At 43.9% G+C, this 21,909-nt stretch overlaps 1 protein-coding gene across 1 annotated transcript in view, besides 1 other annotated feature; it reads left to right on the top strand.

Annotated features, from left to right (window-relative positions):
- PFDN1 (prefoldin subunit 1) overlaps positions 1 to 21,909 on the top strand; it is a 58,067-nt gene that overhangs the window by 34,247 nt on the left and 1,911 nt on the right. The gene's annotated exons all lie outside the window — the stretch shown is intronic.
- Positions 8,401 to 9,600: an enhancer, noted in NCBI's record as "MED14-independent group 3 enhancer chr5:139638840-139640039 (GRCh37/hg19 assembly coordinates)". NCBI's record gives its function as "activates an origin of replication core promoter dependent on BRD2, BRD4, P300/CBP and CDK7 cofactors, and independent of MED14, by STARR-seq in HCT116 cells {active_cell/tissue: HCT116}" and the evidence as "EXISTENCE:reporter gene assay evidence [ECO:0000049][PMID:35650434]".

The raw sequence follows: 21,909 nt of genomic DNA, 5'->3' as shown, positions 1-21,909 counted from the left end.
GGCATCACCTTGTTTTAGAAATATATTTTCAGATAGAGCTGAATAGTTTAACTCCACATATGTAATTGACATACCCAGGAAGACATCACTTTATTCATTTATAGTGCTTTATCCTGTCTTATAAAATATATGATACTTAGAATAGTAGCATGCATGTTCCTGTGTTTAGATTCCTTGAGTATTTATGAACTTTTTTTTGTTGTTGTTGTTGAGATGGAGTCTTACTCTGTCACCCAGGCTGGAGTGCAGTGGTGCATTCTTGGCTCACTGCAGCCTCTGACTCCCAGATTCAAAAGATTTCCTGCCTCAGCCTCCCGAGTAGCTGGGATTACAGGGTGCGCCACCATAACCGGCTAATTTTTGTATTTTAGTAGAGATGGGGTTTCACCACGTTGGCCAGGCTGATCTTGAACTCCTGGCCTCAAGCGGTCCACCTTGGCCTCCCAAAGTGCTGGGATTACAGGTGTGAGCCACTGTGCCCATCCCGTTTATGAACTTTTTAATGAATTGTATCTTATTTATTTTAATAACTTTTTTTGTGAATTTTAGTTTATCTGCTGATGCAAACAGTTACACCATTTTCATAGGGCTTTTACCATTTTTATCTTACCGTTTTATTCATTTTTCAAATGATTTTTGCATATTACTTCATTTATAAATAGAATGACTAGGGACAATGCTGTTTTGCTAATTATGTCTAATTTGAGGTTTCTCCCAGCTCACTTTGTCTTGCTTTCAGTCTCTTACCTGCTGCCAGCATAATCGAAATATTTGAATTCCATCACTATTCACGAAGCTATTCTTTTGGTTACATAGTCATCTTGTGAGGAAGTTTTTCCAGAATGGACACAGATGCATTGTATTCCTAACCTTTGTGTAAAACAATTTAGTTCGTTTGACTCTGCTTTTGTTTTTAAGAAAACACATGTAGGGGTGGAACAATACTTCCAGGTCAGGAAACGTTATCAGTTTCCACTGATGTTTTATACATAGTCTGTTTTTATATGAAACTCTAAAGGCTCAAACTCTGTGATGCTATAAAGACACGGAAAATGATTCTTTCTTAGGGTTGGAGGAAGTGATGACTAGCGTTTTTTTTTTGCTGGTAGTATTTGATAATCCCCCGTCCCTTTAGCTATTCTAGGCCTGTTTAGTTGTCGGGCGTTGTCGGACTGAATTGCTAAAAATAACAAATAAGCGGGAGGTGGTTCTAAGGCCAGCCCTGGCTACTGTCTGTAATCTGTTTAATTTAGTTCCTGGGGAGAAAGGGCAAAAAGAACATGGTGCCATTCTCATTGAATGGATTTTTTGTTTAAAGTGCTCATGAGAGCATTGTTTGAGCTCTCCCTTTTCTCAAACCCCACAGGGCTCAGGTACCCACATTCCCTTAGTGTGGAGCCAGAGCCTGGGGGCTGAAAGAGCATGCTCGGATTCAGCGGTTGTGCTAGAGATTAACCAGGCAACTGTGGTCTTCTGCTGATCTTTAAATGTGGCTTTTGACAATGGAAATGTGCATTTAGCTTTTAAGAGAGGGAGAGTGAGTGTGGTGGTTAGAAGTGGGGGAGTTAGTGTGTGAATAAGAATCTTTCTATTTACTATTCTCCCCTAACTCAGTGTTCAGAGTCAGGTGGTTTGATAAAATATAACCGCATGTGTGATTCCAGTGCACCTGCATTTAACTGTAACCCACACCGCAGCATGTGTGATTCCAGTGCACCTGCATGTAACTGTAACCTACACCGCAGCATGTGTGATTCCAGTACACCTGCATGTAACTGTAACCCGCACCGCAGCAAGTGTGATTCCAGTACACCTGCATTTAACTTTAACCCACACTGCAGCATGTGTGATTCCAGTACACCTGCATTTAACTTTAACCCACACCGCAGCATGTGTGATTCCAGTACACCTGCATGTAACTGTAACCCACACTGCAGCATAAAGCTCTGCTTTGATTTGACTCTTGTCCTCTCTGTGCCTTAACTTCTTCATAATAATAGAAGCAGCTCTCTATAGAGACAGCAGTCTAGTACTTGCTTGTAAAGCTGTTGATGATCACTGAAGGAATGATTTAAATGCCTTTCCTATCCCTTGCTGTGTACAGTTTTCTAGTGGTGGAATGTGTGAAAACTAGGAGCAAATTTTTAGGTGTGTGTGTGTGTTCCACATTCTGTGTTGACTCACCTGAGGGCTTATTGATTTTTGTATTCTGAAGTTTATTGATTTTCGTAGTCTGAAATCTCATCCAAAACCCTTTCCTTTGCAGTTCTTATTTTGGGGAAGGGGGTGGGTGTCTAAACCTGATTACTTTAATACCACAGGTAAAAAAGGATTGTTTTTATTAGAGATCCTGGGGGTTTGTTGTGGGGAGGTGCCATGCAAATATCTTGGGAAAGCATACATTAGTGAAGATTGACGTATTTACCCATAGCTTTGGGATCTGAGCAGTTAGACATTGCAGGCTTTGAAATGCCTGCTTTTAGATATTTCTCAAGTCACAAACCAGTGTTACTCCCTAGTTTAATGATAGGCTGCTGCATTATCCAGGTGAGAGATGATGGTAGGTTGGACCAGGATGGTGACAGTGGAGGTGATCAGACTCTGGATGTATTTTAAGGTAGAACCAAGGTGACTGGGTATAGGAGTAAAAGAAGAGAGTTGGAAAAACTGAAGTTTTGGGCCTGTGATTAAGGCCCAAATCCTCCCTGTCTTCTTCCTCTTCCTTCCCCATATGTCACTCATTCTCCACAAGAGATCTGGAATGGGTTCATGGGAGAGGGGCGGGCATTTCACCTGGGCTTTGAAGGTCAGCTAGAAGTTTGCTAGGTGGGGCTAGGGCAGAGGAGAGGGCATTTCAAATCAAGGAATAGTGTGGACAAAAGTCTGGAAGTGGAGTGGTGGTTGCAGTGGTGTAACCCTCCATTGGGAAGTGAGTGAGTGGGAAGTGAGGCTGGAAAGATCTAAGGGAAAGGAATTAAAGTGAATGAAATTAGCATTGCTTCTACTCACTTTTTCTAAGTACTGCTTGTTCTGTGCAAGTAGCTGTTCTAAGTCCCAATGCTATTCATTCAGTGTGGTTTCTACTCAGCATTCCGTATGTCCTGGGCTCCACAGAGGGATCGTCCTGCTGCAGACATTCCAGGTCCTGCTGCAGGTTTATAGGAACAAATGTGCTACTGCTTATTCATAGATCAATGTTTCCTAGTCAGTTTTCAAGTTTTGAAACTAAATTTTTTTTTCCCCCAAAACTAATTTTAAAAGGAAACTGAAAGTTTGGTTTGGGCCTTTACCTTTGAGATTACTATTAGACACCCAAGTAGAGATGTTGAATAGACAGTTGGATATATGAATCTGGAACTCTGGACTAGCGAAATAAAATGGAGAATTGTCTACAAATTGCCAGTTTATAGATGGCGTTTCAAGTCATAGAACTAGCTTGGGTCAACTAAGGGAAAAGTATAGCTGGAGAAGGGACAGGGTTTGTGGACTGAGCCCTGGGTCACTGTAGCAGGACCACAGAGGTGTGGACGGCGTCCATTTTGAGTCCAAATAACCAAGTGAATACCCACATGGGCAACCCTCTGCTGATACAGGGCCAGGCTGAAGGGTTGCTCTCAACTCCCTTGGTGGTAAGGGGACTGCTTTTTCATGGGCTGTCCAAGCAGAGGCTGGCAGCAGAAGTGGTCAGTTCTGTTAGACCTGAGTCGCAAGTGCTCTGTATGTGGACAACACTGCAGGGAGGGGATGCCCGAACACAGTCCTTTTAAAGTATAGCAGATAAAAGGTCTGCCATGGATCTGTGGAATCCTGAGTAAAATTTGAGGGAGGTGGGTACTAACATGGGCAGAAGCAAAGATGCCTGCGAGTTTTGAACTAGTTTTGAAGGTTAAAAAGTCCCTAAGAGGATTTTATGTTAATACCTTTACTGTTCCCTATATATACTCACATATTATGTACACACACATTGCTACCCTCTTTAAAATGAATTTTAAATTTTATTTTATTTTTTGGAGATGAGCTTTTGCTTTGTCACCCAGGCTGGAGTGCAGTGGCGTGATCATAGCTCAGTGCAGCCTGGAACTCCTGGGCTCAGGTGTTCCTCCTACTTCAGTCTCCTCAGTAGCTGAGACTATAGGCACAGGCTACCATGCTCAGATAATTAATTCTGTGTTTTTTTTTTTGTAAAGACAGGGTCTCCCTATGTTGCCCAGGCTGGTCTCAAACTTGGCCTTGAGCAGTCCTCCCACTTCAGCCTCCCAAAGTGTTGGGATTACAGGCATGACCCACCATGCCTAGTCCCCTCTGTGAGATTCAAATATATACTAAGAAAAGCTTCAACCCTTAGAATATTTTTTAAGTTCATCTTTAAGATTCTTAGCAAGTAAAAGATACTGCTTGTCTTTGCTCTGATATGCATAGCATAATGCCTTGGCATAGTAATTAAGAATATGAACTCTGGAATTAGATGAATATGAATTTGAACCCTGACTGCCACTTAATATCATCTTGGATAAATGACATACTTAGTGTTTGGTATGGTTTGGATGTTTGTCTCCTCCAAATCTCATGTTGAAATGTGATCCCCAGTGTTGGAGGTGGGGTCTGGTGGGAGGTGATTGGATCATGAGGGCAGATCCCTCATGAATGGCATAGCACAATCCCCTTGGTGATGAGTGAGTTCTCAGTTCAGTTCACTCAAAATCTGGTTGTTTAAATGTCTGGAACTTCCCACTCACTCTCTTTTGCCTCGCTTTCACCATGTGACGTGCTGGCTCCCCATTGCCTTCTACCGTGATTTTTTTTTTTTTTTTTTTTTTTTTTTTTTTTTTTTTTTGAGATGGAGTCTCACTCTGACCCCCAGGCTGGAGTGCAGTGGCGCAATCTCGGCTCACTGCAAGCTCCACCTCCCGGGTTCACGCCATTCTCCTGCTTCAGCCTCCTGAGTAGCTGGGACTACAGGCGCCCGCCACCACACCGGGCTAATTTTTTGTATTTTTAGTAGAGACGGGGTTTCACTGTGTTAGTCAGGATGGTCTCGATCTCCTGACCTCGTGATCTGCCCACCTCAGCCTCCCAAAGTGCTGGGATTACAGGCATGAGCCACCACGCCCGGCTCCTTCTACCATGATTGTAAGCCTCCTGAGGTCCTCACCAGACACTGAGCAGATGTTGGTGCTATGCCTGTACAGCCTGTGGAACCGTGAGCCAATTAAACTTCTTTTCTTTATAAATTACCCAGTGTCAGGTATTCCTTTATAGTAATGCAAAAATAGACTGATACGGTGTTTTTAAGCCTAAATACACTCGTCCGTAAAATGGCAAAAGCAAGTGTTAGGATGAAGGGAGACAATAAGTAACTTTTATTTCTGGCCCAAGAGTGGAACCAATTGAAAGACAGATGGATATAAAAATTCCATCTTTTTATATATTTTACCTTTAATATTAGTAAAGATTAGGTTGAAGGATGTGGCTTTGGTATGCAGCAGTCATGGGTTTTTAATATTGATCCAGATTTAGGCATACAGATAGATGAACTTACCCTGCAAATCTCTATAAGTGTGGGACAACCACAGGTCTTTCTCTGCAGAGGCAGGCAGAGTCTGTCTGTTAAACTTACAAGAGCCTTCTGCAAGCAAGCAGCTTCTGGCAGAGCAGAAGGGGCCGAGCCCCTTTGTTCTTCCAAACAAGCCCATCAGAAAAGCCACCAGTCTTCCCTGGACTAGATGGAGGAGGCCGGGACTATAACTAATTAAAGCTGGAGGTGAGGATAAACATTTATCCCTTATGAAAAGTACCTGCCTTGTAACATAATACAGATCACTTAGCACTGTGCCTGACACAGTAAATACTTAATGCGGGATTTTATTATTTGCCTCTGGTGGATGCTTATCAGCTGTTTACTGATTGAGCATATTGCCAGCAAGTACTTATAAGATAAAAGGTGTTTTTTTTTTAATTTGGAAAATAATGTATGAAAGCTAATTTAACAAACACCTGTGCATTTATCATTCAGAATTAACAAATGTTAGCATTTTGTAATATTTACCTTTTTGGTTTTTTTTTTTACACAAATGATGCTAATGAAATTGAGGTCATCTGTGTTCCCTCCCACACCTTCCCCAGTCTCATTCCCATTCACCAGAAGCAACAGCTATCAAGGATTTGGTCCGTATCTTTTCATTCCGTGTTTGATATACATCCTGTATTCAATAGGTAACACCGTGTTGTTTATATCTTTCAACAACTTGTTTTTTTCATTCCATATGAAGCACAAACATTGCCATTGGTAGGGCTGGTCAGTGGACTCAACAGTCGAGTGCCAGCAGGTCAGTTTGATCTGCTGCTCTTATTTTCTAATAGCCATGGATTCTGTGTGAAGCCATCTCATGAACTTGGTGGCTTCTGCCCATGATTTAGAAATGGAGGTCACGTGTTCTTCATGGAGCCAGAACCAGAATCAGTCAGGGAAAGAGAGGGACATCAGAGTGGTAACCTGGGATTCCAGATTCTAGACTCCAAACCCTTTACCATTCACTTTTACTCGGAAAGAAATGGGGATTCCTTATGCTGTAGTTGGATACTCTGAGTAGGTAGGCATTCTAAAATTTGTGGTCCTTTTCTTATAAAATGATAACCCCCGAATACCAGCTCTGAGTAAAGAGATAAGTGGCTTCTAAGTGGCCTGGCATCTGGAAATTGAAGCAAGGGCAAAAGGAAAACCACCCTTTGAGTCATGTTTGCAAAGAGAAGTATGCCAAGGGCTCTTTTATTACTCCAGTGTCATTAAAAATTTAATTGGTGTTATGTCAGCTATTAGATCAGAGCTATTAGCATATTAAATTCTCTCTGTTTACCCCAGTTCTATGGTAACTTAGTGGGTGTGGAGTTGGGGACAAGTGGCAGCTGGGCGGCTGTGACGTTTGTTCTGTAGAGTGATTTCATCATGATCTGAGCCCTGCATCACCCTGGATGGAGAAGTGTCACTGGGTGATGTGGACCTGACCTCTCAATACCCCTCAGAACACCGAGAGCTATGAGCAAAGATCCTGGGTTGCTTGTCTTACCTAGAAGTTTAACTTTGAGTTGGAGGACAGCATTTTCTTGGGTGATATTGACAGGTGTCACTATGAATTTCCTTTTCTCTTCCTTAGTGAAAAGACAGCCAAGGTTTTTGGAAAGCTTTATAAATAGCCCTTTGATATTGTAGTATATTTGTAGTCCTCCAGTTCTGCCCTCTGCTGACCCATACAAATCAGCCGAGGAGGTGCCTATGAGTCATGTAGCTGTGCCTGCCGTGGCTTTGAGCTCTTGCTTGTTTTCACTGTCTCCCGGTCCTTTTATGGGTTTCCGGTTGCCGTATCTCTATTTTTTTAGTTGTGTACATTTGTTACTTGATTGGAAAGTAGTGATATGATCACATAGAAGTTTACTCTTGTTTGTCCATTGGCTCTACTACAGTACCTTATTAACTCATTAAATGCTTAGTGCTTTTGCTTACAGCATTAAAGTTAATTTTTAACAATTAATATGGCAGTTTATTTTACCCCAACCCGTTTGTATGTGTAAATTTTTGGGTGGAGTACAGACTGATTTGCTGGTGAAAATCATTACTTTCCATGCCTGTTTTCAGACACAGAGATTTAATGTCCTGTCTTTTTTTAAAATATCCTTTCTTTTTTTTTTTTTTTTTTTTGAGATGGAGTCTTACTGTGTCATCCAGGCTGGAGTGCAGTGGTGTGATCTCGGCTCATTGTAACTTCCGCCTCCTGAGTTCAAGCGATTCACCTGCCTTAGCCTCCTGAGTAGCTGGGATTACAGTTGTGCACCATCAGGCCCAGCTAATTTTTGTATTTTTAGTAGAGACGGGGTTTCACCATGTTGGCCAGGCTGGTCTCCAGCTCCTGACCTCAAGTGATCTACCTGCCTCGGCCTCCCAAAGTGCTGGAATTACAGGCATGAGCCATTGTGCCCGGCCCGTGTCCTGTCTTCTCCCCTTGTGGTGCAGCATTTTGAGAATAAAAGGAGATATATATATTTTTTAAAGTGAGGTAAAATTCACATAACATAAAATACACAATGTTGTATAATCATCACCACTGTCTAATTCTAGAACATTTTTATTGCCCCCAAAAGAAACTTAACTATTAAGCAGTGAGACTGCCCATTCCCTCAGTACCTGGCAACCATGAATCTGTTTTCTATCTGTCTCTGCAGATTTGCCTGTTTTGGGTGTTTATAAATGGATCATCTAGTATGTAGCTTTCTGTGTCTGGCTTCTTTCACTTAGCTTAATGTCTCAAGGTTCATTCATGTTATAGCATGTATCAGTACTTCTCTCGTTTTTATGTCTGAATAATATTCCATTGTATGGATGTACCACATTTTGTTTATCCATTTATCAGTTGATGGACATTTAGGTTGTTTTCCCCTTTTTGGCTGTTGTAAATAATGCTGCTATGAACATTTACAAGTTTTTGTTTGTATGTCACAGTGGATTAGCTGGCTCATATGGTAATTTTATGTTTTAATTGAAGTACCTGCCAAACTTTTCTGTAGCAGCTGCCCCATTTTAAATCACCAGCAATATATGAGGGTTCCAGTTTCTCCACATCTTTGCCAGCACTTGTTTTTTTCTGTTTTTTATTTTATTTTATTTTATTTTTTGTTTTTATATTTTTAGTAGAGACGGAGGTCTTGCTATGTTGCCCAGGCTGGTTTCAAATTCCTGAGCTCAAATGATCCTCCCATGTTGGCCTTCCAAAGTGCTGGGATTACAGGTGTGCAACACTGCATCTGGCCGGTTTTTGATTATAGCCATCCTAGTTGGTATAGTCTATCATTGTGATTTTTTAAATTTGCATTTTTGTAATGATAATAATGTTGAACAGCTTTTCATGTGCTTTTTGGCCAATAATACGTCTTCTTTGAAGAAACACCTGTACAAATCCTTTGCTTATTTTAAAATTGGTTCGTCTTTGTTGTTGTTGACTTGAAAGAAAATAGGAATTCTGGAGCTGAAAGAAAATAGGAATTGCTTGGAGCAGACAGCAGGATCAGGATTGACTTTAGGCTCTAGCCACACACACCTGCATGTTAATCTTACCCCACAGTTGCGTCAGTTACACCTCCACTTCCAAGAATGCAAGGTGTCACCCTTACTTCCTCTCTCAGCAGGCACACCCTTATTCACCTACCCCTTTACCATGCCTACAGGCCAAACTCCACTGTAAACACTGTTGATTTGATCTCTTGCTCCTGTAAGAATGGGACAAACTGAGGACAAACTGAAATATTGGCACTTACTGTTTTTTGTTGTTGTTTTTGCTCATTTGGAAGACTTGTAGGGTTTTAACAGTTCCTCTAGTCCGTCTTATTGAAGAGCACTTGACTTTTTGATGTTGGCAAAACAGAAGAAAAGTAATGTATATTGGGAAACTGTAATCGTTTCCTTGGGCATAATTATATTGATGCTTCTACAACCCTTGTGTTGGACCTACACAAAACCCAATGTCTCATTGAAGATAGGAGTTAACGTTATTTGTCCTGACACTGCATTACATGTTCTTGAGGCTCATCTGTAACAGTTAAAATGTCTGCTAGCTTTCCTTCATGGAGTTAGGGTCAGGTCTCAACTTTTTAAAGTTGTAAGATATCCTACAGGCCACTTGATGTAGCGCTCCCCTTTCTAGCCCCCAACCATTTCTGACGTGTTGTCACTCTTCCTATTTGAACATATCCAATGATTTTTAGTGACCTCATTCTTTTTCCTGAACTACTCTCCTTTTGGTTTCTATGACACACATTTCCCTCCTTTTTAGTTTTATTTACTGGTTCCTGCTCTTCATTCCAGACTTAAAATGTTGAATTTCTTGAAGGCTAAGTCCTCTTATTGTATGTTCTTTACCTAGGAATTTCATCCATTCTCACGACTTCAAGTACCACGTCTATGCAAAATTATATCTCTAGCCCAGATTTCTTCCATGAACTCCAGAGCCAATCTAGTTTTTCACATCTCATTTGGATGTCTCACAGGTACCTTAAACCCAAAACGAAGCTCAGAATCTTCCCTTCCAAACCAGGTCCTCCTCCTGCATTTCTTCTCTCAGTGAAAGGCAGCACCCTCAAGCCAGTATGCAAGCCCCAACTGGGCATCCTGGGAGTCATTCCTGACATCTTCCTCCTCAGCTTCTGATGTCTAATGAAGGTTATGATGAAGGGAGTGGTGAAGTCCTCTTGTTGATTTTCCTCCTGAATATTTCAGAAATCTATCTGCTCTTCTTCATCTCCATTGTCACCACTAAGATACTGTCATCTCTTTCCAAGACGATTGCAGTGGCCTCCTAATAGGTTTCCAACATTCACGCGTGTATTCTCTAATCCAGTGCTTCCCAGGCTTTTTTTTTTTTTTTTTTTTAACAGTACAGCTCTCAGAAAATTGTATTTGCACAATTCACTGGGGTAACCGGACAAAGGTGCTCAAAGCTGGAGGCAACTGCTCAGGGGGGTTTTGGCTGCCCTGGACCACCCAGCCACTCCAGGGACTGAGGGATCAATATCCTGGGCACATCTGTTACCCATTCATGACTCATAGGACGTTTTTGGGAAGCTCTGTTCTCATTCATTCTGTATGCTTCAGCTGAGTGAGATTGTTTTTAATGGAAATTTGACTTTTGCTCTCCTGCTTAAAACCCAGTGGCATTCCATTGCCTTCAAGATAAATTCCAGAACTTTAATATGGCTTAAGACCCCACACGATCTGACTCAGCCTCACCAGCCTCATCTCTGTATTCTCACCCTTTCTGTCTCTGTGCTTCAGTCTCCCTGGTTGACATTCAGTTCTCCCAACTTGCCGGACTCCATTTATCTGGAATTACTCTCTCCCCACTCTCACCTCTCCTCTTGTTAATTCCTGCTCATCCTTCAGAGCTGAGTTCTCAAGTCCCTCTGTGAGTTCCTTGATTCCATCAGATGTTTCCTCCATCGAAGACCATGGTTTCCCTCAGATCCCTTATTACAATGGTAGCTAAATGTCTGTGTGGCCTGCAACAGTATAATCTCCAGGGATAAGTGTGTGCTTTGTTCGCTTCTCTACTGTTGGTGCTCTTTGGAGTGCTGAGTGCCCAATACCTGTTGGTTAGATGAATTATGTGCCAGTTCTTGGTGCTAGGGTTATAGCATTAATCAAATCAGACATGATCCCTACTCTTTGGAGCTTACACTGAGATACAGACAATAAAGAAATAAACAAGAAACCATCATGTAGTAAGGGTGATGTTTTAGAGAGTTACTGGAGACCTTCTTTAGTTGAATAATTGGGGAAGGGCTTTCTGAAAAAGTGAAATTTCAGCTAAGATGTGAATGAAAAGAAGCAGACAGCCACCTAAAAGTATCTCAAGGAAGAACATTCCAGGTGGAGGTCACAGAGAAATATTACACAGAGAGATATTCCTGTCTTAAGACAGAAATAAGTCTGCTGGAGCTGTTTAAGCAAGTGAAAGGGGGACAGAGTAGTAATGAAGTGGAGGGGTTGGCAGGAGTGAGGCCATGTGGAGCCTGAGCACCTTGGTTAAAGAGTCTGGCTTGTTTTCTAAGTGTGAGGTGAAACCATTAGAGGCTTTTTTTTTTTTTTTTGAGATGGAGTTTTGCTCTTGTTGCCCAGGCTGGAGTGCAGTGGCGTGATCTCGGCTCACTGCAACCTCCACCTCCCGGGCTCAAGCGATTCTCCTGCCTCAGCCTCCTGAGTAGCTGGGATTACAGGCGTGTGCCACCATGCCCAGCTAATTTTTTTTATTTTTAGTAGAGACAGGGTTTTTATCATGTTGTCCAGGCTGGTCTCAAAACTCCTGACCTCAGGTGATCCACCTGCCTCAACCTCCCGAAGTGCAGGGATTACAGGTGTGAGCCACCACGCCTGGCCCATTAGAGGTTTTTTGAGCAGAGGCTAACTTGATTCAGTGTGAGAGTGTCCACGACACACCTCCAGGCAAGAGATGATGGAGGCTTGGACTAGGACGAGGGCAGTGGTGCTAGATAGAAAGAAGAGTAGAGTTTGGGAATATATTTGGAAGTAAGCTAATAAGATTTGCCGATGGATTGGATGGAAGGTGTGGGGATTGAGGAAAAGAAAAAAATCAGGGATGTGCCATGTAGGGTCATTCTTGAAAAACATAGCTTTTTTTTTTTTTTTTTTTTTTTTGTCATTTTTTGTTTTTTACATTGAGCAGTTGGATGAGTGCCATTCACTGAGATGGGGAAGTCAGGGAGGGGTAGGGGTGGGGGTGACCATAAATCAGTTGTGTTTGTTTTAAACATATTAAAGTCTGGGTTTGACATCAAAGAGGATATGTTTTATAAATAATTGGATATGTTAAATCTGGAATTAAGGGGATATAGGGTTGGAGATACAAATTAGGAGTCATATAATGTTTAAAGCTATGAGATGAGAGTATTGGTTTTGTTGTTGTTGTTGTTGTTTGAGATGGAGGCTTGCTCTGTCACCCACGCTGGAGTACAGTGGCTTGATCTCAGCTCACTGCAACATCTGCCTCCTGGGTTCAAGCGATTCTCATGCCTCAGCTTCCCAAAGTGCTGAGATTACAGGTGTGAGCCACCACACCTGGCCGAGATGAGAGTTTCTAAGAGGGAGTGCAGATGGGGAGAAGAGGAGGAGTTCCAGGACAGCTTCTTGGGAAATGCAGCATTCGGAAGCTGAGCAGAGGAGGGGTAGTCAGCAAAGGAGAACTTAGAAAGAGTAGCCAGTTATGTCGGAGGAGAATAGAAGTGTGGTGTCATGAAAGCTAGAAGGAGAAAGTGTTCCAAGAACTGTGTTGAACACTGTTGAGAGGTTGAGTAAGATGACAGAGAAGCACCCATAGAGATCATTGGACTTGAATCACAGCCAATTCATTAGAGGAGGTAGAAGTGTGATTGGAGAGGTCTGAGGAGCAGATAGGAGGGAAGACAGGGGAGGCAGCTGCCTTAGAAAACCGATTCAAGAAGTTTTGCAGAAAAAAGGCAGTACTTTCAGGGGACTGAGAGGTAAAGAAAGGGTTTTTTAATGGTTTGCCTCACCAAGAAGGATCTTGCAGAGTAAGAAATAGAAGATTAAGAAGAAAGGAAGGTTAATGGTAAGAGTGAAGTTTCTGAGAAGGTATGTGGGGATGAAATCATTGTCTAAGTGGAAGGGTTGTGTGTGTGTTTTTGTTTTGTTTTGAGACAGGGCCTTGCTCTGTCACCCAGGCTTGAGTGCAGTGGCATGATCACGGCTCACTGCATGCAGTCTCAACCTCCTGGACTCAAGTGATCCTCCTGCCTTAGCCTTCTGAGTAGCTGGGGCTACAGACATGCACCACCATGCCCAGCTGATTTTTTTATTTTTGTAGAGATGGGGGTCTCGCTGTAGAGATAGGGTCTCACTAATAGGTGGGTGATATTCTCGGCCAGGGTTCTGTAAATTACAGCCCAAGGGCCAGCTGGTCTCAAACTCCTTCCCTCAAGTGATCCTCCCACCTCAGCCTTCCAAAGTGCAGGGTTGTATTTTGATTCCTTTAAAAACACAGTACAGGGATGCTATCAATTTTAACAGTAGAGAAAGAAGAGACTATACATACAGGTGTAGGTCGATTAGTAGATTTGGTAGAGGGAAGATAGAGTTCTTATGAGATTTATTTTCTCAGCTGAGAGGAGGGAGAATAGGCGATTTGAGGAGACAAGACAAAGCATGAAATAGTTATTTTGGAGAGCAGACAATGAACATATAAAGGAGGTTTAATAGAATTTCCATAGTGCCCATTTGGGATTCATGGCTCTGAATTTAAAGTGAGACCATTCAGCACAGTTTAGCATTTTCCTCCAGCAACATTCAGCCACTCAGGTGAGGCATGGAGTGGGTAGATGGTTGAGTTTAATCTGGGTTGGCATTTTCCCAGGTAAGTGCAACAGAGGGAGAGAGGGACATAGGTGAAAGGGTAAATATAAGGAGAATAAATATAAATGATGGACTATATAAGCAAAGCTGGGTAGGAAGGGAAAAGCCCATGGAAGCATAATGGAAAATGAACAAGTTGTTGCGTGACGAGGTTGAAGAAATGCTGGAGCGAGAGTATCAGAAGTGACCTGGAAGAATATGAGGTAGTGGTGGTGAAATGGACACTTCAGAGGTGTGCAGCTTCTAGTGTTGACAAGACCTAGGGCATGACCATGGACCAGGTGGCTGAGGTGGGATAACTGTAAAATTGTGAGGAGAGAGGAGGCTGTGGTATTGGGTGGGTCATCTACATTCTTGTTGAAGTCACCTTGAATGGTACAGCTGTGGTGGAGAGGGAGACAGGGAGCCACTGATGATGACGGATAGTGCCCAGGATACTGGAAGATTGAAGCAACAAGGAGGGGGGAGTCCGGTGGCTAAGCATGATGCCATGAACTTCAAGGACCAGGGTTTATGAAGGATAAAGGAGGGGAAATGGTTTGGCAGTGAGCTGAATGAGTGGATGGAAGGATGGACAGATGGAAATGTAGGCTTTTATTAGGCAGCTTTCAGTGAAAGTTAAAAATCTCTAACTGCTGGACTCAGTCCTACCCTTTAAAGCCCCATCTTTTTAAGGAACAGACACTGGCAAACCACCGCCTGCCCCGTCCAGCCCACTGCCTGTTTCTGTGCTTTCGAAACATAGCCGTGCCCATTCATCTGCACCACACCCATTTGTTTACACATTGTCTGACTGCTTTTGTGCTACAATGGCAGAGCTGAGTAGTTGTAACAGAGATAACCCCACAGTGAAAGCCTGAAATATTTATTATCTGGCCCTTTATAGAAAAAGTTTGCTGACTCCTGATTTAGAACAAAAAGTTTGAGTCTCAAACTTCAGTGTGGGTCACAGCCACCCGGGAGGGATTGTGAAAACACAGATTGCTGTAGTCCATCCCCAGGGTTTCTGGTTCAGTTGGTCTGGGTCGAGGCATAAGAATATGCCCTTCTAATAAGTTCGCAGGTGATCCCGATGCTGCTGGGAGAGGACTGCACTTGGAGAGCCATTGCTTTCTATAGTTAAGGTAGTGATAGATTCCTTCTTCCCTTAATCTTCTCTGAACCAAAAGTCCCCACCGACTTCAGCTGCCCATCGCTTGACCCCATCACTTGACGTGATTTGCTGGCTTGTCATCATCCCTTTTACACCTGGTGCCTGCAGATGGTAGTGATTCTTTGGCTGAGGCTTGATCAGCACCATATTGCATTAGGACAGTTGCCGCTCCTGGCTCTGTGCTTCACTCTGAGCTTTCTATCTGGTCATTCCCAGGTTATCTGGTAGGCTGGGCTTTCTCTGGGACTCACATGAAGCTGATGTGTTAGGGAGGGCAGCAGTAGGTAGAACTCACCTAAACCTCAGGGGGACCGAGCAGCTAAACACTGTTGTTTGAAGAAGAATTTTTTCCCCTCGTGTATATCTGCTGTAAAGTGCTTGAGTGGTGTAGGGGTTCGGGTTCGTCTTGGCAGACTGAATTGGGGGTGCTAGCCAGCATGTGATCATAGGTGGGGTTTGGGAGTCTGACCCCATATGGTAGCAGTGTCAGTCTGTCGGCAGGTAAAAGCACACCTGGGAGGAAAACAGGTCAGCGCTTAGCTGAAGCAAGTCTTTTGTCCCTGTCCTTCAGCAGAAAGACCTCTGAAGGGTCTTTTCTGTCTTTCTTTTCTGAAGGATATTTCTAAAGTAGTATCTAGAAGATGCAGGGACAGTAACTCCTTCCGAGATTTCTCTTTATTCTCCTGCTCCATGCCTAAGATTGCTTTATCTTTCTTTGATTTGTCTCCCAGCGGTGTAGCTCAGTGGTTACCATATCGCCTAGCTGTGTCCTCTGGTGAAGTGGATGCACCCAGATGAGTTTACAAGTGGGCATATCCGTGGACCGCTTAGACCTGTCTCTCAGGTGTGGGGTTTTGCCTGCCTCTGTTGGCCCTCCTCACCCATCCAGGCTGGCGGCTCAGGGCACATGTGCCCTCAGGGCTCTGCCCTGCCCCTGCCTGCTGCAGCCGTGGCCATGCTGTCCCATTTTCCATCCTGCCTTCTCTGATTGTGTCCTCTTGTTGCCTTTTTTTCTGTTTTTGTCTTGTTTCCCCTGCCTTCTACCAACCTTGTCCCCCATCAAAACATGCTTCTTCAGCCCTCAGTGAGTTCTTGGCCTCTTGCCAAACATCCCCATTGTGGGCAGTTGGTACCCTCTGACCATTTTACAGATCTGCCAGTGAGCGAACACGAGAATTAGTGAGGCTTTGGGTTTTTAATTTGGAAGTCATGGTAGAGACAGCGAAAAGATGGCCATTGCCTTCAGTTTTTTTGATTAATAGTAGAGCTTGAAGTTGGTGGTGGTGTCCAGGAGCTGGAAGCTGTGGATTTTACACAAGAGAGAAGTATGTGACCAAGGCAGGTCACACTCAGGGTCAGAAACCGTGACTCCCAGCAGAGGGTCTCTGAGGACTTAGCTCTCACAGAATATCAGGAACAGAAGGGAACCTAAGTCTGCCTTGTGTGTTGCCTCCGATGCCTGGATTGGAGGGCAGGAGATGAGCCAGCAGGGCTATTTTTATTCAGATAAAAGTACATATCCGTATACATCCATAGTATGTCTCCCCTCTCCTCTGAGCTCCATTTAACCTGTTTTGTTTGTTTAGTCTTTAAGGCAAGAGTTCATGTGAAGAAAGTGTCGTGTGGCTAAAGTAGAAATGGGAGTGGGGTGGGGGTGGAGGGATGCACTGGTATTGCCCAAATCCTCATCTTACAAATGGGAAAATAGAGGGACAGAGAGGAGAAAACTCTTTTCAATACCCCAAGGCAGGATAAACAGGAAAGAAAGAAAGAAAGAAAAAAAAAACTAATTTAGAGAAGGAGAGCTGGAGACAAAGTTCCTAAGAAAAGAAAAAAGTCTGTAGTGATAGCGTCACAAGATGTATTACCTCAGGAGTCTATTTGAGAGATTGTGTCATGTCAGAAAAGTTCTAGGGACTGGAGCCTCTTTCCTTGGTAAGAGGATGAGAATGAAACACCAGCCCCTCAGTCTGACTCCTGGAAAAAAGAACCTCAGGCCGATGAGCAATAACTCCAACAATGTCATTTCCCTGGCCATGCTGAGCCCCACAGGAAATCTCAGAGTTTGTCATCACGGCAAGGGCCCACAAGAATGTCGCTGCACCCAGAGCTTTGTGGTTTGATGCCACTAGAGACTTCCCTTGTGAAAGCATTCTGAGGGAAATTGCTCGGCAAGACAGAAAGATGCTACAGTGAGATCAGCAGATGCCCTCCCAGGACTGCTGGTAGTAAGTGTGGATTTCAAATGTCACTCCTAGCAGCCCTGAGGCTGACATCGGATAGAGCAGTTCCTCAAGGATTTCAGAGTCCAGGACATGGGAAATTGGGGTGGTTTGTTTTTTAGTTTTGCAAGTTGACCTGATAAAGCATTAAGGCCTGTTAGGGCGTGTTCTGTTTGTGGAAGCAAGGCCAGATCCAAAGCCCCCACTGGGATCTGTAACGTTTGAGTTTTATTATTTATTTATTTTATTATAAATCAGTAATTCATAATTGTATAGATTTATGGGGTAAAAGTATTATGATTTATAAATATAATGTGGGCTGGGTGCAGTAGTTCACATCTGTAATCCCAGCACTTTGGGAGGCTGAGGCAGGTGGATCATTTGAGGCCAGGAGTTCGAGACCAGCCTGGCCAACATGGTGAAACCCCGTCTCTACTAAAGATAGAAAAATTAGCTGGGTGTGGTGGTACTCACCTGTAATCCTCAGCTACTCGGGAGGCTGAGATGGGAGAATTGCTTAAACCTGGGAGGCAGAGTTTGCAGTGAGCCTAGATCATGCCATTGCACTCTACCTTAGGCAACAGAGCAAGACCCTGTTTCAAAAAAAAATAAAAAGAATATAATGTAGAATAATTAAATCAAGCTAGTTAACATATTCATTACCTCAAATACTTGACATTGTTTGTAGTGATAGGTTGGAGTTTTAAATCTGTGTATATCCAGGGGCAGGGGGTGAGAGGGCAATGCCGAAAGCTGAAAACCACCTTGAAGGAAAATGGTCATTTTCTGCCTTTGCTTCTTCTGTTGGGCGTTCCTTGATTATTCAAGTTGGGAGGGAAAACTAAAAAGTGTGTGTACATCAGTAAGGCGTCATTTCCCACACTAAAGCACTTTATTCAACAAACATTAAATTCCTATTATGTGCCAGCCATTCTTCTAGACGGTAGGACCGTATCAGGTGACAGAACAAAGTCCTGCCCTTGTGGACCTTTCCGTCTCATAAGGGAAGCCAGACAGTTTCTCCTTCCTGTGGTGGAAAGAGCTCTGGAGAAGAGTCAAGGTGAGGAGAATAGGGAGTATTGGGCAGCATGTACTCAAGAAGGCCTCGCAGATAAGGTAACATTTGAGAAAGCCCTGAAGGAAGTGAGGGGATGAGTAATGTGAATATCTGGGGAAGAGAACTTCTACATGGAGAGCACAGCGAAGGGCAAAGGCCAGGCAGGAACATACCTGGTGGATTGGAGGAGCAGCATGGGAGGCCTGTGTGACTGGAGCTGAAGGAGTGACGGGGAAGAGTTGTTGGAGGTGAGGTCGGAGATTTAGCTGAAACCAAGACCATGCATGCATGGCTTCTTGGAAGTTGAAAAGTACTGTGGTGTGAATAGTTGTTTCTCCCTAAAGTCTTTGTTGAAATCCTAACTCCTGAGATGATGGTGTTAGGAGGTGTGGCCATTTGGGAGATGAGTAGGTCATGAGGGCAGAGCCCTTTAAATGGGGTTAGTGCCCTTACCCAAGAGCACAGCACCGCACTGGAAATGAAGGATGCCCCTGCTGTGGTGTGCATAGGGTTTCTTTGCCCCCTGGCAGGTCTCATGTTGAAATTTGGTACCCCCAGACCCCCCCAACCCCCGCAAAAAAATTTGATCCCCAGTGTTGAAGGTGGGGCCTGGTGGGAGATGTTTGGATTATGGGGGCGGGTTTCTTGTGTATGGCTTGGTACCATTCTCATGGGAGTGAGTTCTCATGCTTTGTTTCTTCACTGACTGGCTGTTGAAAAGAGCCTGGCACCTCCTCTCTCATTTCCTCTCTGGCCACATGATTTCTGTACAGGTGGCTCCCCTTCGCCTTCCACCACGAATGCAAGCAGCCAGAAACCCTCTCCAGAAGCAGATGCTGCACCATGCTTGTATAGCCTGCAGACCTGTGGGCCAAACAAACCTCTTTTCTTCATAAATTACCCAGCCTCAGGTATTCCTTTAGAGCAACACAAACAGACTAAGACACCCGTGGAGACAGAGGCCTCCCAAGGTTCTTCTGCACTCACAGGACCAATCCTGCCACGCCTCTGACCATACTGAATTGCAGAGGCCTGGGTAACTGCCCTTAAAACTTTATAAGCTAGGATCATACTTATCCCCAAATAATTGTGGTAGAATTGGTGTCTGGGGGCATCCCTCATTTCAGGTATTGTGTTGGTTTTCTACTTGGTTTTCTACTTGTATTTGAAGCTACCACGAATTGGTCTTCACAGCATCTTGTTTGGACACTAATGATTGGATTCAGGGCCCACCCTAATATAATATGATCTCATCTTAACTTAGTTACATCTGCAAAGATCCTCTTTCCAAATTACCAGAGATTAGAACTTCAGCATATCTTTTTGTCAAATTCAGTTCAACCCACAACAGGTGCCTTGTTCTGGGTTTGATTATGATGAGAGTCTTCTGGGCTTAAATATGCTTGGGGACTGAGACAGGAATTATTGAAATACAGTTAGAAAGGTCCACTATGTTAGGGATGTCCTGTCCTGTTGGAATTTTTTCTTTTAAGAAATGTCTACTACGTTTATTTAAACTAATTAAAAATTTAAAGATGAAGGCAGTATCGTGGCACATGCCTCTAAGGCAAGAGGATTGCTGGAGCCCAGGAGTTTGAGGCCAGCCTGGGCAATATAACAAGACCCCATTTCTAGAAACAAAACAAAAATATAGATAGATATGTTAATTTGCATCATTGTTTGGAAACCTGAAGACTTTAGGATATGCAGTGGTAAAATTCATCAAAGTGTTAGAAAGCAGAGATTTTACAGAAGAAGGAATTTTTAAAGCTGAGAGGTATAGCCTGAGTTTGGCTGGGGAGTCTGGGTGGGAGGGCAGAAGAGCTCTTGCTGATGTTCCAAGTTGATGGTTTTGCCAGCTGTGGCAGCAAGTTGGCAGAGATTGAATGCAACAGACCAGAGTCCCTGGGCCCTGGCGGACTTTTGTAGGAGGAGAAGTGGGCTTATTCCATTCGCCTTTCCCCTGCATTCACATGGGGTCCACAGGGTGCCCAGGTGGTGTATGGCACCGAGCTATTGCTCCCCTCTTTGTGACACCCAGTGGACATACATTCTTTAGTGTGTGTCAGGGCTTACTAGTATTTGCCTTTTTTCAGCTCACCACAGTTAAAGTCTAAGAGTTGTTTATCGGCCTGGCACGGTGGCTCACCCCTGTAATCCCAACACTTTGGGAGGCCGAGGCGGGCAGATCACGAGGTCAGGAGTTTGAGACCAGCTTGGCTAACACAGTGAAACCCCATCTCTACTAAAAATAGAAAAAATTAGCCAGCGTGGTGGTGTGTGCCTGTAATCCCAACTACTTGGGAGGCTGAGGCGGGAGAATCGTGTGAACCCGGGAGGCGGAGGTTGCAGTGAGCCGAGATGGCGCCATTGCACTCCAGCCTGGGCAACAGTGCGAGATTCCGTCTCAAAAAAAAAAAAAAGAGTTGTTTATCAAAGGAAGTTTAAATTCCCACTCTGATATCACAGTGATAGGACTGTATTTGGTTTAGCAATGTAATTAAAATTCCTTAGCAGCAGTATGCATTTGCAGGCATTGGATTGAATGGTTATCATGGTCACCATGAGTTGGAGTTTTGCTCTTGTTGCCCAGGCTGGAGTGCGATGGCATGGCCTTGGCTCACTGCAGCCTCCGCCTCCTGGGTTCAAGTGATTCTCCTGCCTCAGCCCCTAAGTAGCTGGGATTACAGGTGCCCCCACCACACCTGTCTAATTTTTTTGTAGAGACAGGGTTTTGCCATGTTGGCCAGGCTGGTCTTAAACTCCTGGCCTCAGGTGATCTGCCCGCCTTGGCCTCCCAAAGTGTTGGGATTATAGGCATGAGCCACTGTGTCTGGCCATGAGTTTTTATGGAGCTCCTGTTGTGTTCCAAGGAATTCTCTGCAACTTAGGACAGATGGGAGATGAGTAAAGAGGGTTCTTTCTAGCCTTAAGGAAATTTGAAGCAAGGAGAGGACAGACAGGAATCAGAGGTTCACGGAAGAACTGATAAAGATTTGTGTATGCCACATTTGGCTTCTGTAGGAAAAAGCCTCTATATGTATCATTTAATAAATAGCTAAGCGCGGTGGCTCACGCCTGTAATGCCAGCACTTTGGGAGACCGAGGAGGGAGGATCGCTTGGGTCCAGGAGTTTGAGATCAGCCTGGGCAATACAAAAAATAAAAAATTGAAGTTTCTCATTTCTACAAAAAAAAAAAAAAAATTAGCCGGGCATGGTGGTACACATCTATAGTCCCAGTGCACCTAGAGTCCCAGCTACTTGGGCTGAGGTGGGAGGTAGAGGCTACAGTGAACCGTGATTGCACCATTGCACTCTGAGCTGAGACCTTGTCTCAAAAATAAATAAAACATACAAACAACTAATTAATTGGACAGAGAGCTCACTTGTCCTCTGCCCTAAACTCTCCCTGCTTCCCTGAGTCCTGTGGGCACTTTAATGGGTGGAACAGAATCAACAGGTGCTTGGGTGAAGGGGGTGGAGGTGAGAGAAGGGCCTGGGCTGCCTGGTGACTGTATTACTGGTTCCAGTGTGGCTCAGTCACATATG

Source organism: Homo sapiens, chromosome 5 (genome assembly GCF_000001405.40).
Source record: "Homo sapiens chromosome 5, GRCh38.p14 Primary Assembly".
Taxonomy (NCBI): Eukaryota; Metazoa; Chordata; class Mammalia; order Primates; family Hominidae; genus Homo; species Homo sapiens.
Note: the sequence above shows the minus strand (reverse complement) of the source record. Positions and strands in the feature narration are given on the sequence as shown.